Genomic DNA, 15,157 nt, shown 5'->3' on the forward strand with positions numbered 1-15,157 from the left:
CTGGAATGGTGCTCTCCCCCGTAGCAGCCTTAGGAGAGGAGGAGAGCGGCTACAGCTGTGGTTTCTCCTGGGCAACAAGACTTGCAGCTAGGCCCAGGTTGGCAACCTGGAACTGGTCTGCATGTGTTACTGCTGGGTGCCCCAGCCTACTCCTCTGAGATTATGGTACAACAGGACCCTCTCTGCCCCACCCTCAGGAAGAAATCAAGGTATTTGGAGCAGCAGCCTGAGCTGTCCCACCCTTCATGGACATAGACATAGATCATGGTGCAGTAGGGCCCTCTAAGCTCCATACACAGGTAGATCTCCAAGTATTTGGAGAATCTCCTTGTCTGGATCAGTAGCTTCAGCTGCCACACTCTTCTTGTGCATAGATTGTGGCATAGTGGAATCCTCTAAGCTCCACACATAGGCAGATCTCCAGGCATTTGGAGCACCTGCTCACCTGGACTAGCAGCCTGAGTTGCTCCACACTTCCTATGCAGAGATCATAGTATGGGGGGCTCTCTCCAATTCATGCCCAGGCAGATCTCCAGGCATTTGGAGCACATGTTCACCTGGTTCAGCAGCCTGAGCCACCCTATTCTTCCTGGGCATAAATCATGGTGAAGTAAGACTCTCTCCATTCCACACACAAGAAGATCTCTAGGCATTCAGAGCACCTGCTCACATGGATCAGCAACCTGACCCACTCCATACTTTCTGTGCAGAGATCCTGGTGCAGGGACGCCCCCTCTGCTCCACGCCAAGGTATATCTCCAGGCATTCAAGGATCTTCTTGTCCAGATTGGTAGCCTGAGTTGCCCCACCCTTTCTGTGCAGAGATCCATGTGCAGGGAGGCCCTCTCTGCTTCATACCCAGGCACATCTCCAGGCATTCAAAAGTATCTGCTTGCCTGGTTCAGCAGCCTGAGTCACTCCACCCCTGCTGTGCAGAGATCTTGGTGGAGCGGAGGCCTCTCTGCTCCACCCTGAGGCAGATCTCCAGGAATCTGAAGTACCCACACTTCTGGATTAAGAATTTCGGTCAGCACCCATCCTCATCCAGAGAACTTGGGTCTGAGGTTTCCCAGCTCCACACCCAGGCACAGCTCTAAGTGCTTGTTGGCCACCCACTAGATTCTCCCTCAGTACTGGTGCTTCTGCCTGCCATTAGGAGAACTTTGGGCAGACCTGCCCAGTCAAGCCCCACCTATATTGGCCCCCATCCCCCTGGGGCTGAGCAGAGAACTTAGACCACTGAGCACTCCATGAATCAGCCCATTGCCTGAGGGAACAGAGAACTTCTTTCAGTAAATAAGGATGAAGTATATACTCATCCATGTTGACCACAGCTGGCTCTTGCCCGTAAGCAGCATGTTCTGGCTTGTAGGTTAAACTGTACAGCCCAATATAGAACCTGATGGCAGAGTGCATAAGGCTATAGAAGAAAAGCCAAAAGACCTTACCCAGCATTTTCTACAGTCACACCCCCTAGGGAGGGAGAAAAAGAGAAAGGAAAAGAATAAAAAATATCAGAGGGTAAAAAAGAAAAAAAATCCTACCTGAACAAAAAATAATTATAAAAATTAGAGGTTCAAGCGTCTCTGGGTGAGAAAGAACCAGTGTAAAATTGCTGGCACCAGAGATCTGGTTGGCACCCTGACCTCCATGAGGGAGATTCAGCTCTATAAGTAAACACTCCGCAAGGCACAAGCATGGCCTCTTTCTATTTTTGAGGCGGTGGCTGCAGCAGCGACTCGGAGTGGTTCCGGTTATCTCTCAGCTTGGCGGCCTGGCAAGCGGGATGAGAGCTGCCACCGCCTGTCGGGCCCGGCGTCAGTCCGGGTCGGTACAGTGCGTGCGCTCGCCCGCCTGCCGCGGAGGGCCGTAGCCGCAGGGGAAGCGGCGTGGACCGGGCGGGGCGCGGCGCCTCGAGCGCAGCGGGAGACAAATGGGACCGGCTCCTCTCCCAACGCCAAGATGTGGATCCAGGTTCCCATCACGGCTCCAAGACGTGCACCACAGAGGACGTGTCTCACAAAGCCACGATTGAGGAGCTGCGGAGCAGATGTGGGTGCTGTTCGACGTGCGGCCCGAGTGCCAGCACCTCTTCTACCGGGGCAAGCAGTTTGAAAATGGATATGCCTTATTTGACTAGGATGTTGGACTGAATGATATAATTCAGCTGCTAGTTTGCCCAGACCCTAATCATCTTCCTGGAACATCTACACAGATTGAGGCTAAACCCTGTTCTGATAGTCCACCTAAAGCAAAGAAAGCTCCAAGGGTGGGACCTTCCAGTCAGCCACCTACATCAGCTCGTGCCCATCTTACTGATCCTAGCTTTGGACTATATAAGGTAAATGAATTGGTGGATGCCAGAGATGTTGGCCTTGGTGCTTGGTTTCAAGCACACATACCTAGTGTTGCTAGAGCTTCTGATGGACAGTCACGTGGCAAAACTCCACTGAAGAATGGCAGTTCTTGTAAAAGGACTAATGGAAATATACATCATAAATCAAAGAGAACATAAATAAATTGGACAATGTACTCTCTACATCTAATTCAGACTCTGTCGCTGCCGATGAAGACGTTATTTACCATATCCAGTATGATGAATACCCAGAAAGTGGTACTCTAGAAATGAATGGCAAGAACCTTAGACCATGAGCTAGAACCATTTTGAAATGAAAGGAACTAAATGTTGGTGATGTGGTAATGGTTAATTATAATGTAGAAAGTCCTAGACAAAGAGGATTCTGTTTGATGCAGAAATTACCACATTGAAGGCAATCTCCAGGACCAAAAATGAACTTCGTGTGAAAATTTTCCTGGGTGTGGGGGGGTTCTGAAGGGGCATTAAATGAGTGCAAAATAATATCTGTAGATGAAATCTTCAAGACTGAGAAACCTGGAGCCTATCCTCTTTCGTTTGCAGATGTAAAGTTTTTAAGGAGAAATAACTCTGAATATGACCTGTGTGGTGGAGACCCAGATAAGAAATGCCATTCTTGCTTCTTTCATGTATATGGTGGGAAACATGAACCCAACATGCAGCTTCTATGTGATGAATGTAATGCGGCTTATCATATTTACTGCTTGAATACACCTTTGGATAAAGTCCCAGAAGAGGAATACTGGTATTGTTCTTCCTGTAAAACTGATTCCAGTTAAGTTGTAAAGGCTGGTGAAAGACTCGAGATGAGTGAAAAGAAAGCAAAGATGCCATCCGCTAGTACTGAAAGCCAGAGAGACTGGTGCAGGAGAATGGCTTGTGTTGGTCATATGACAGAATGCACTATTGTCTCTTCTAATCATTATGGACCTATTCCTGTTGGATCAACTTGGAGATTTAGAGTTCAGGTGAGTGAAGTAGGTGTTCACAGACCCCATGTTGGTGGACTTCATGGTCGAAGTAATGATGGAGTTTATTCTCTTGTCTTGGTTGGTGGATTTGTGGATAAAGTTGACCGAGGTGATGAGTTCTTGTACACTGGAAGTGGTGGTAAAAAGCTTGCTGGTAATAAAAGAATTGGCACACCTTCAGCTGATCAAACATTAACAAACACAAACAGGGCATTGGCCCTAAACTGTGATGCTACATTGGGTGATAAAATTGGAGCAGAGTCTTGGAATTGGAGAGCTGGTAAGCCAGTCAGAGTGATATGCAGTTTTAAAGGGAGGAAGATCAGCAAATATGCTCCTGAAGAAGGCAACAGATATGATGGCATTTATAAGGTAGTGAAATACTGGCCAGAGATTTCATCAAGCCATGGACTCTTGATTTGGCGCTATCTTTTAAGAAGAGATGATGTTGAACCTGCTCCTTGGACCTCTGAAGGAATAGAATGGTCAAGGAGATTATGTCTACATTTACAGTATCCAGCAGGTTACCCTTCAGATAAAGAAAGGAAGAAGACTAAAGGACAGTCAAAGAAGCAGGCCAGTGGAACCACAAAAAGGCCGATTTCAAATGTCTAAGTGCCTCCAAAGTATACAAAGCATCAGATTCAGCAGGAGCAATTGAGGCTTTTCAACTAACTCCTCAACAGCAACATCTCATCAGAGAAGACTGTCAAAACCAGAAGCTGTGGGATGAAGTGCTTGCATATCTTGTGGAAGGACCAAATTTTCTGAAAAAATTGGAACAATCTTTTATGTGTGTTTGCTGCCAGAAGCTAGTTTACCAGCCTGTGACAACTGAGTGCTTCCAGAATGTCTGTAAAAATTGCCAACAGTGCTCCTTTAAGGCATAGGTTTTCTCCTGCCCTGCTTGCTGGCATGATCTTGGCCAGAATTATGTCATAATTCCCCATGAGATTCTGCAGACTCTACTAGACCTTTTCTTCCCTGGCTACAGCAAAGGATGATGATCTGTCTGCTTTCACTGGGTTGTTCATGGTGGGTTTTTGGACAATAAAGAATCTAAAATGGGTGGGGAGGGTGGAATGGTGTACAGTATCTCTCATGTTCTGAAGCAGCTAATTCTCTTTCCCACATAGCCATCATCTTTGTGTGTAGTAAGAGGCCCATTTCTCAACTGTCTTTTAAATATCTAAAGGTAGTTCCTGTAACAACTAGTTTTAATGAGTAAAAAGTCAAAGCCCCAGCTCTAGATGATATCCAAGTTATGATTTATTTTGCAACTACCTCAGGACAGAAAAGATTCATGGAGATTTAAAAAATCATTGAATAACCAGTTAAATGAAATTTTAGCTACACACTGCCTCCCAAATATTAATTGTGCCTGGTTCATGTAATTTGATTTTACAGAAAAGGAAATGACACTTGAGATCCTTGGAATGAACACAGCTTCTATAGTGTGCATATACTCTTTTAACATCTCTTCTTCCATTACAATGTGTGTGTTGCAAGGACAGGTTCATTTTTTTGACCACTTTGTGAACTCCACTGTGCTTTTTTCTGGTGTTTTATGCAAGTTGACTACTAATGGCTAATGAGAACAATAATGAATGTATTGTTGCTGCATTAGTGTAATGTGGTATGTTTTTGCACTTGAAAGGTATTCATATGCTCTAGTTGTAAATGTTCATGAAAATCCACTTCTGTACTAGTCGAACTGCTTTTAATGTCTCCACAGCGGTTTTACATCTGCAGAGTTTTGACCTTTGAGAGGATTTGAAATTGCTTTATATTGTGATCCTAAATTTTATACTTACTATATTCCCTAAAGTATACCTTAGTAAATATTTTATGAGCAGAAAAAAAATGCTGGCACCATCAAAAATCTGAATGTAGTGATGCAACCAAAGAACTTCACTAGCTCTTCAGCAATGGTCCCTACCAAAATGGACACTCAGAAATGACAGATAAAGAATTCAAAGTATGGATTGCAAAGAAGCTCAATGAGATCTAAGACAAAGTTGAAAATCAACATAAAGAAACTTCTAAAGCAGTCCAGAAAAATGAAGGAAGAGATAAATACCTCATAAAAAAATCAATCTGATGCAAAGGCATAAGAATGATACAATGGACTTTGGGGACTTGTGGGGAAGGGTGGGAGAGGGGCAAGGGATAAAAGACTACAGATAGAGTGTGTTGTATACTGCTTGGGAGATGAGTGCACCAAAATCTCACAAAGCACCATTAAAGAATTTACACATGTAACCAAATACCATCCGTACCCCAGTAACCTATAGAGAAACTAAAAAAAATCTCAAATCAACTATCTAACATCAAAACTTTAGCTAAACTGAAACTCTAGTTTTGATAAACTAACCTCTAGTTTCCAGAGGAACTAAAAAAACAAGAACAAACTACCTCCAAAGCTAGCAGAAGAAAAGAAATAACTAAAATCAGAGCAGAATTGAAGGAAATTGAGACCCAAAAATTCATACAAAAGATCAACAAAACCAAAAGTTTCTTCTTTAAAAGGATAAACACCATTAGCTAGACTAACAAAGGAAAAAGAGAGAAGATTCAAATAAGCACAATCAGAAATGACAAGGCTGGCATTATAACCTACCCCCCAGAAATATAAAAGATACTCAGAAACTATGAACACCTCTATGCACACAACCTAGAAAACCTAGAGGAAATAAATAAATTCCTGAAGACACAAAATCTCCCAAGACTGAATCAGGAAGAAATTGAAATCCTGAACAGACCAATATCAAGTTCTCAAATTGAATCAGTAATTAAAAAAACCTACTAACCAAAAAAAGCCCTGAACCAGATGGACTCACAGCCAAATTCCACCAGACACACAGAGAAGAGCTGGTACCAATTCTACTGAAACTATTCCAAAATACAGAATAGGAAGGACTCTTCCCTAACTAATTCTCTGAAGGGCAGCATTACCCTGAAACCAAAATCTGGCAAAGACACAATGAAAAAAAGAAAACTACAGGCCAATATCCCTGGATGAATATAAACATAGAAATACTTAGCAAAATGCTTGCAAACCAAATCCAACAGCATGGCAAAAAGCTAATTCATTATGATCAAATAGAATTCATTCATTGGATGAAAGATTGGTTTGAGATATGCAAATCAATAAACATGATATTCACATCAATAGAATTACAGACAAAAACACATGATCATCTAAATAGAAACAGAAAAAGCATTTGATAATATTCTACATCCCTTCCTGATAAAAACATGCAGCAAACTAGGCATGGAAGAAACATACCTCAACATAATAAAGGCATATATGACAAGTCCACAGCTATCATTATACCAAATGGGGAAAAGCTGAAAGTCTTTTTTCTATAAACTGGAATTAGATAAGGATGCGCACTTTCAGCACTCCTATTCAAAATAGTCCTGGAAGTCCTAGCCAAAGTAATCAGGCAAGAGAAAGAAATAAAAGTCATACAAATTGGAAAAGAGGAAGTCAAATTGTCCATCTTTGCAGATTACATGATCTTATATTTATACAAATTTAAAGACTCCACCAAAAACTCTTAGATGTGATAATAAGTATAGTAACATTTCTAGATACAAAATCCACCTACATAAGTCAGTAGCATTTTGACACACCAATAACAATCTAGTTGAAAAAAAAATCAAGAAAACGACTTGCAATAGATGAAAAAAAATACTTAGGAATAAATTTAACCAAGAAGATGAATGACCTCTACAAGACAAACTAAAAAACACTGGTAAAAGAAATTAAACAGGATACAAATGGAAAGATATCCTATGCTCATGAATCAAAAAGTAATTATAGATTCAATGCAATCCCTATCAAAATACCAGTGACATTTTTTCACAGAAATAGAGAAAAAGAATTCTAAAATTTGTATGAAACCAAAAAAGATCTCAAATGGCCAAAGTGATCCTGAATTAAAAGAACAAAGCTGGAGGCATCATGCTACCGGACTTAAAATATATTACAAGGCTATATTAACCAAAACAGCATGGTATTGGTATAAAAACAAACACAACTACCAATGAAACAAAAAAGAGAACCCAGAAATAAACTCATATATTTACAGCCAACTGATTTTTGTCAAAGGTGTCAAGAACATACATTGGGTAAATAACACTCTCTTCAATAAATGATGCTGAAGAAACTAAATATCCACAGAAAAGAATGAAACTAAACTCCTCTCTCTCATCATATACAAAAATCAACTCAAAATGAATTAAAGACTTAAATGAAAGACCCCAAACTATAGAAATACTAGAAGAAAACCTAGAAGAAACACTTCAGATATTTGTCTAGGCAAAGATTTTATTACTAAGACCTCAAAAGCACAGGTAACAAAAATAAAAATAGACAAATGGGACTATATTAAACTAAAAAGCTTCAGCACAGCAAAGGAAACAATCAACAGAGTGAATAGACAACCTGTTGAATGGGAGAAAATATTTGCAAACTATTCATCTGACAAGGGGCTAACATTCAAAATACACAAGGAACCTAAATAACTCAACAGCAAACAAAAAACAAAACAAAACAAAACAAAAACAAATAATCCCATTAAGAAGTGGGCATAGGATTTTGACATTTCTTGAAAGAAGACATACAAATGGCCAACAGGTATATGAAAAAAATGCTCAACATCAATAATCATCAGGAACATGCAAATTAAAAGCATAAGAAGACATCATCTCACCTTAATTAGAATAGCTATTAGCAAGGCTGGGAGCAGTGGCTCATGTCTGTAATCTCAGCACTTTGGGAGGCCGAGGTGGGCGGATCACCTGAGGTCGGGACTTCGAGACCAGCCTGACCAACATGGAGAAACCCCGTCTCTACTAAAACTACAAAAAATTAGCCTGGCATGGTGGTGTATGCCTGTAATCCCAGCTACTCGGAAGGCTGAGGCAGGAGAATTGCTTGAACCTGGGAGGTGGAGGTTGTGGTGAGCCGAGATTGCACCATTGCACTTCAGTCTGGGTAACAAGAGTGAAACTCAGTCTCAAAAAAAAAAAAAATAGCTATTATCAGAAAGACAAAAATTAGCAATGCTGGCAAGGATGATGAGTAAAGGGAACTCTTATACACTGTTGGTAGGAGTGTAAATAGTACAGCCATTATGGAAAACAGTATGCAGACTTCTCAAAAAACTAAAAGTAAAACTTTTAGTTTTTTGCATATGATACAGCAATCCAAGTACTGGGTATTTATCCAAAGGAAAGGAAATCAGTATATCAAATAACTATTTGTACTTCCATGTTTATTGTGGCACTACTCACAATAGCCAATGTATGGAATCAACTTATGTATTCATCAATGGATGAATGGATAAAGAAAATGTGGTACATATACAGTGAAATATTATTCATCCCTCTAAAAGAATAAAATTATTATTTTCAGGAACTTGGAATAAGAGGTCATTATATTGAGTGAAATAAGCTAGGCACAGAAAGACAAATAGCATATGTTCTCATTCATATGTAGGAGCTAAAAAAAAAAAAAAGGATCTCATGGAGGTAGAGAGTTGACTGATGGCTTCCAGAGTCAGGCAAGCATAGGGGGAGGGAGCAGTGAAGAAAGGTTGGTTAATAAGTACAAAAATACAATTAAATAGAAGAAATAAGATACAGCATTCAATAGTACAGTAGGGTGACTCTAGTTAACAATTTATTGTATAGTTCAAAATAGCTAGAAAAGAAGAATTAGAATATTCTCAACTGTAAAAAAAGAGATAAATATTTGAGGCCATGGATATACCAATCACCCTGATTTAATCATTACACACTTTTGCATGTATCAAAATATCACATGTACCTCTCAAATACTACAACTATTATGTATCAATTAGAAAAAATATAGCCAAATAGGAAAGGAAAGTAAAATTGCTCTGTTTGAAGATGTCAGGTCTTATATATAAAAACACTATAAGACTCCACCAAAAACTTTCAGAATTAACAACAAATTTAATACAGATACAGGATACAAAATCAACATTCAAAAATTAGAATTGCCTATACACTAACAACAAACTATCAGAAAAATAAATAAAACAATCCCACTTAAAATAGCATCAAAATCAACATTAAAAGGCTAGGAATAAATTTAATCAAGAAGGCAAACAATTTGCATAATGAAAAGCATAAAACATTCATTAATGAAAGAAATGGAAGAAGTCACAAATAAATGGAAACATATCCCATGATCGTGGATCAGAAAAATTAATATTGTTAAAATGTCCATACTACCCAAAGCAACCTGCAGATTAAATGCAATCTCTATCAAAATCTGAGTGACATTTTTTACAGAAATAGAAAAAACAATCCTAAAATGTATATGGAATTATAAAGATCCCAAATAGCTAATGCATATTGAGAAAGAACAGCAAAGGTGGAGGCATTGCACTTACTGATTTTAAACTATTTTGCAAAGCTATAGAAATCCAAACAATGTAGCACAGGCATAAAAACAGATACCTACACCAATGCAACAGAACTGAAAGCCCAGAAATAGACTAACCATATCAACTAATATCTGAGTTAAGTTTAAGTTTCCAGGAATACACAATTAGAAAAGGACAGTCTCTTCAATAAATGGTTTAAGGACAGCTGGATATACACATGCAAAAATAAAATAAAACGGGATCCCTATTTTACACTCCTCACAAAAATTAACTTGGAATGTATTAAAGGCTTAAACATAAGACTTAAAACTATGAAACTACTGGAATCAAACATGGGGGGAACCTTCATGGCATTAATTTTGGCAATAATTTTTTGGATATGACACCAAAAGCACAAGCAACAAGAACACAAATAAATGAGAATACATCAAACTCTAAAAGATTCTGCACAGCAAGGGAAACATTCAAAAAAATGAAAAGACTACTGACAGAATAGAAGAGGATATTTTCAAACCTTATATCTAATAAGGGGTTAATATGCTTATAACATAAGTAACTCCTACAACTCAATGGCAAAAAAAAAATCAATAATCTGATTTTTAAATGGTCATATTACCTCAATAGACATTTTCTAAGGAAGACATACAAATGGCCAACAGGTATATGAAAAGGTGCTCAACAACCCTATTCATCAGGAAAATGCAAATCAAAACCATAATGAGCTATTGCCTCACACCTGTCAGGATGGTTTTTATTAAAAAGACAAGATATAACTATTTTTGGCAAAATCTGAATAAAATGGAATTCTTGTGCATGGTTGATTGGAACATAAACTGGCACAACCATTAAGGAAAACAGTACGGAGCTTCCTAAAAAAAATGAAAATAGAACCACCATATTATCCAGCAATCCCACTTCTGGGTATATATTTATTGGACAAAATCAGTAGCTCAAAGGGATATCTGCATTCCCATGTTTATTGCAGCATTATTCACAATAGCCAAGACAAGGAAACAACCTGTGTCTGTTGACAGTAATTGTTACAATTACTTATCCATTCATCTGTCAACAGACATTTAGATTGTTTCCATGTTTTGGCTATATATACAAAATGGGATATTAATCAGCCATAAACAAGAATGAAATCCTGCCATTTGTGACAACATGGATGAGTCTCGAGGGCATTATGCAAGGTGAGAGATGTCAGACAGGGAAAGACAAATGAGGTATGATCTCACTTATATTTGGAATCTAAAATAATGGAACTCAGAGAAACAGTGTAGAACGGTGATTACTAGGGGCTGGGTGTGAGGGAAATTGGGAGATGTCGGTCAAAGGGCACACACTTTTAGATATAAGATGAATAAATTCTGGAGATCAAATGTACAGTATGGTGACTATACTTAACAATATTGTACTGTACCCTTGAAATGTGCTAAGAAAGTAGTCCTTAAATGTTCATACCACACACACAAAAATATGTTAACTGAGTGAGGTGACAGAATGGTAACTAACTTGGGTGCAGAAATCATCTCACAACATATACATATATCTAATCATCAAATTGAAACCTTAAATTTACACAATTTCATTTGTCAATTATATCTCAATAAAGTTCAAAAAATATATTTCATATACTATGGAGACTATTTCAATATTTTGTGTGTGTGTATATATATATTTTATATAATATGTGTGCATGTGTGTATACATATATATATATATATATAAAAGAATAAAACCAAGGCATAAACAGTGATAAAACTAATGTACAGATCTTATATATTGTGGCAAAGTGGAAATAATGCACTAAGATGGGAAAAAGAAGAAAGTAGAAAAAGCTCTTTGTATTAGAGGCAATAAATCGGCATTAAAAGTTTAAAAAAAGAAACAGACAAAATTCCTAAAGTTTAAATGAGAAACAGAGTACTAAGGCATTAAGAAAGGCATATATAAAATTAATCATTAGGACAAAAAGAAAAACCTTCCAAATATGAAAACATATATATTTAAAAACACAGGCTACAGCTTTCATAGAGACAAACATAGCAAATACATCAAATTAGCCATAGTATAAAATAACAGATTTGTATCTAAATCTACAAGTCATATCAATAAATGTAAATAGGCTTACCTTTCTAAAATACAAAGCTCTACAACTTGACTTATAAAATAAGATCCAATCATATATTATATGCAAGAAACATACGTGAAAGAAGTGTTTTAGAAGGCTAAAAATACAGTAATGAACAAGAAAACAGTAGACAAATTGAAGCAAAATGAAAGTAGTAATAGTTACCTGATATCAGGCAAAGTAGAATTCAAGCCCAAAGGCATTAATCATAACAAATATCAATCTTAAATGCTATAAGCCACAATTAACAATCAAGGTATATAACTTATGAATGTCTATGCATCAAAAACAGCAACCACCTTGATAAAGTAAAACCTAATGAGGGTCAATAATATAGATAGAATATGTTAATAATTGGAGACCTTAATACATCACTCTCAGTTCATGACAGATCAATTAGGGGAAAAAATGACTAAGGAGAGAAAAAAGATAGACAACATAATCCTTAGGGTAAATGTTAGGGATATATATTAAACTATACATGCTCCTAATAGAGAATATTTGCATGAGTATTAGAGTAGTATATGGGCTCATGATCCATTTACAAATATTGATCAATTGATCAGCAAAATAATCTGCAATTTTATAAAATATAAATATTATAAACAATACAGGTGATAATGCAATAAAACAAGATATTACTAACAAAAACAAAACAAAAACACCCAGAAAGATTCTTCCACCTGGAAATTTAAAACATCCCATTAAACAAGTTTAGTGTGTGCAAGGGGAAATGCAAACTACAATGACAGAAGTTAATAAATTATAATAACAAAAAACCCACTACATATCAGCATCTATGGGATGTATGTAAAGCAGTGCTCAGAGGAAAATTCATTGAACTAAACACTTTAATCAATAAAAAAGCAAAGATTGAAAATATATTAATTAAATTCCAAGCATCAAAAACTGAATAAAAGGACAATAAAGTAAATCAAAATAAGCAAAGGGAAATAATAAAGCAGAAATCAGTAAGGTAGGAGACCTTTAAAATAAATTAATTAAACTAATAAACAAAATTCCTGGTTTGTTGAAAAGATTAAGAAAATTGACAAATCACTAGATAATTTGTTCAGGAGAAGTAGGAGAATGCACTAACAAACCAAGAAATATTCAGGAGGAAATAACTATTGAAACAAAAAATAATAATAAAATTACAATATTTTTTAGACCTCTATGCAAATAAATTTGAAAGCCTGGAGAAGATAAATAATCTTTTAATAAAATACAGACTGCCAAAATTGAATCCATTAGAGTTAAAATGTTTAAACAGAACAATTTCATAGAAGAAATAAAGTTATTAAGAAACTAGTTCACAAAAAAAAGCAACCGGTGCAGTTGTTTCACATGAGACTTCTACCAAAACATCAAACTTCTTCTTGAAAAAGAAGAAAAATATTGTAACTCCTTTCATGTACCAAGTATAACACACACTTAAGCTAGATAAGGACAGTATTAAAACAATTGTAGACCAATGTCAGTCAGAAAAGTCGATGCAAAAAAACTAAATAAGATACTTGTAAACAGAATCTAACAAGATGTGAAGAAAATAATACATCATTAGCAAATTGGATTTATAGCAAAATTTCAAGGTAGGTTTAATATTAGGAAATTCATTTATATCATAAACAATATTAATAGATCTAAGAGGAAAATTATTACTATCCCCACAGATACGGCAAAAACAATTGGAGAAAACGCCCATCCATGTTAAATGTAAAAAGACATCCAAGATAGTAAGAAATAAGCGATATTTTTAACATAATAAAATACTCATACCTTAGTCCTAAATCCAGTGTCTAATTGAATGGAGAAATACTAAAAGCATTTTCAATAAGATCAAGACAAAAATGCCCACTATTTCTGCTCTAATTTAACATTATATTAGAGGTATTATTCAAATGCAATCAGGGAAGACAGAAGAAATACAGATATAAATGTGGTTAATAATAATAGTATATCTGGAAAATTTCAAAGAATCAATGATAAAACTAATTCAGATAATAATTCAACTCAGTGAATAAGTAGAAAAAAACATTAAATTTAAAATTTATACCTTTATATTTATTTCACGAAAAAGTGAATATACTTAACAGTACTGAACTCTACACTTAAAAATGAATAAAATGGTAAATTTTATGTTATATGCTTTTTACCACAATAAAAAAATATATGTATTCATATCAAAAATAATAAAAGTGGGATATAATAGTAGAGAATAAAGATGGCTGACTAGAAGCAGGTAGTGCGCTCTGCTCTCATGAAGAAGAAACAGAATGGCTAGTAAACACTAGTTCTTCAAATGGATCATCCACGAGAACGCATTGGGACTCGTAACAGAAGCAACGGGACCCATGGAGAACAGAGAGGAATGAAGCAGAGCAGCCACCCACCTGGAACTGGCGCAGAGGCAGTGGAAGCTCACTACCACAGGGAAAGGGTGAGTGAGGAAGAGCCCCAGGGACCCACAATTCCTCCATTGACCTTTGCAATCCTAGGAATGGGAGATCCTCCCAACCCCCCAGGCCTCCAGACTGACACAAAGAAACACCTGGAGTCTGGGCAGAGCCGTCACTCAAGGTCATGTGAAGCCCCAAGGACCTTGGATCACTGAGCACCCAGGCACCAGCTTGCATAGACCTGCCAACAAGGAAGGACGGGCTCTTTCACATGCCCCTAGGATAGAGATTGCATCCACAGTGATGAGAAGCAGACGGACTGCAGGCCCCATCTCTGCAGCTCCTCACATGACAGGGCCTCCCAAATGGGGCCTGCAGCGCAGCCATTCCACCATCTCCTGAGCACTCGGGCCAGTCTTGGCTCAGCATTTCTCTGGGGTGGAGCTCCCAGAAGAAACTCACAGGCCTTCTTCCATTGCTGGGGCCAGGGTACCCGCCCTTGCTGCCCACAGGCTAGGGAGGGAACGAAGAGCCTGATTGCTTTCACTGACACCTCCAGCACATAGCACCTGTGCATCTACCCTATGTAGAAAGAGGACAGACTTATTTACACAAGAACCATCTCTCGCCCTGCTCTTCGGCAAGCAGGCTCCCCTTGCCCTTAACTGCTTGGGCCCCACACTGCTGGGGCCCATAGGATAGCTGCCCAGCCCAGACATGATCACTCTGATCAGCTGTGGCTCTGCATTTTTCTGGGGTGGAGCTCCCTGAGGCAACTGAGAGGTGTGGTTGCAGCCACCACAGTCCCCACCCTTACTGCCCCCAGGCTGGGGAGGAAACAAAAAGCCTGA

The 15,157-nt window shown here is 37.9% G+C and overlaps 1 long non-coding RNA gene and 1 pseudogene across 1 annotated transcript in view; one reads left to right on the forward strand and one right to left on the reverse strand.

Annotated features, from left to right (window-relative positions):
• FTX (FTX transcript, XIST regulator) overlaps window positions 1-15,157 on the reverse strand; it is a 265,439-nt gene that overhangs the window by 75,474 nt on the left and 174,808 nt on the right. The window lies entirely within an intron of this gene.
• UHRF2P1 (ubiquitin like with PHD and ring finger domains 2 pseudogene 1) lies at window positions 1,670-5,209 on the forward strand (annotated as a pseudogene).

This window comes from Homo sapiens, chromosome X (assembly GCF_000001405.40).
Source record: "Homo sapiens chromosome X, GRCh38.p14 Primary Assembly".
In the NCBI taxonomy this organism is placed as follows: Eukaryota; Metazoa; Chordata; class Mammalia; order Primates; family Hominidae; genus Homo; species Homo sapiens.